Here is a 1135-nt window from a genome sequence, read left to right as displayed (position 1 = left end):
TGCAGCACAGAAAGAAGTGATTTTCTCATATGTCCACAGTCCGAATGAGGCCAGGCTAGGTTGGAATATTCTTGGTGCTTCCAAGGGCCCAAAGTACTGCTTAGCTGGGATGTAAACTGTCTAAGCCTCTGGGATTACTGTGCTTTTTTCAGTACTTACATTAAGGTACAACCACAGGTCTTTCTGCAAGTGCTACGTTTGAATCAAAGCTGCCGAGCTTTACTGTCCTCATCTTCACTGTCCTCGCCCAAAGGTCTGACAGCTCTCAGAGCTGTCCCTGGCTTTTGAGAGGCTAGATATCAACAGTCAACTCTTCGCCTGCAGACTGGATGCTTGATGCATGGATTTTATTAGGTACTATTGAGAACTCAGAAAAGCCAGAGAAAAACATGGGCCAGGAGTTGAAACACATGGGATGGGGCGTCATACTTACCACTAATATATCATGGTGCCCTGGATAAGCTCTATCCCATGTGGTTTTTTGGGATTCACTTTCCATATTTACAAAATAAGAAGCAGTTAGATTATTGCCAAGATTCCTGCAGAGTAACTGCCTTAGGAGTCATGAGTCCTATTCTACTGGTGCATCTGCCATTCGCTTGCACTATGAACTTGGGCCAGTCACAGCCTCCCTTTGGTCCCTTGTGTTCTCATGTGTACAGGGTTTTTCCTCAAACATCTACTTTTGTGTTCCTACGATGTCAGTCACTACTCCAGTTAATAACAGTGCTCGCATATACACTCAGACACACACACACTAGTAAATATCAGTGGTTATTGTGTGCAAAGGCCTGTGGCTTAGCTCTTTGCAACATACTGGTTTTTGTTTTGTTTTGGTTTCGTTTGGTTTGCTTTTTTTTTTTTTTTTTTTTTGGAGACAGAGTCTGACTCTGTCACCCAGGCTGGAGTGCAGTGGGCGATCTTGGCTCACTGCAACCTCTGCCTTCTGGGATCCAGTGATTCTCATGCCTCAGCAACCCAAGTAGCTGGGACTACAGACAAGGGCCACCATGCCAAGCTAATTTTTGTACTTTTAGTAGATATGGGGTTTTGCCACATTGGCCAGGATGGTCTTGAACTCCCGGCCTCAAGCAATCCACCTACCTTGGCCTCCAAACTGCTAAGATTACAGGCA

At 45.2% G+C, this 1135-nt stretch overlaps 1 annotated feature.

The window, feature by feature from the left end:
* Window positions 253-754: an enhancer, noted in NCBI's record as "H3K27ac hESC enhancer chr8:127433559-127434060 (GRCh37/hg19 assembly coordinates)". NCBI's record gives its function as "activates a minimal SCP1, AML or CMV promoter by ChIP-STARR-seq in primed H9 embryonic stem cells {active_cell/tissue: H9 hESC(primed)}" and the evidence as "EXISTENCE:reporter gene assay evidence [ECO:0000049][PMID:30033119]".

This window comes from Homo sapiens, chromosome 8 (genome assembly GCF_000001405.40).
Source record: "Homo sapiens chromosome 8, GRCh38.p14 Primary Assembly".
Lineage (NCBI taxonomy): Eukaryota > Metazoa > Chordata > Mammalia > Primates > Hominidae > Homo > Homo sapiens.
The sequence above is the reverse complement of the archived record's forward strand: the minus strand, read 5'-3'. Positions and strand labels throughout refer to the sequence as shown.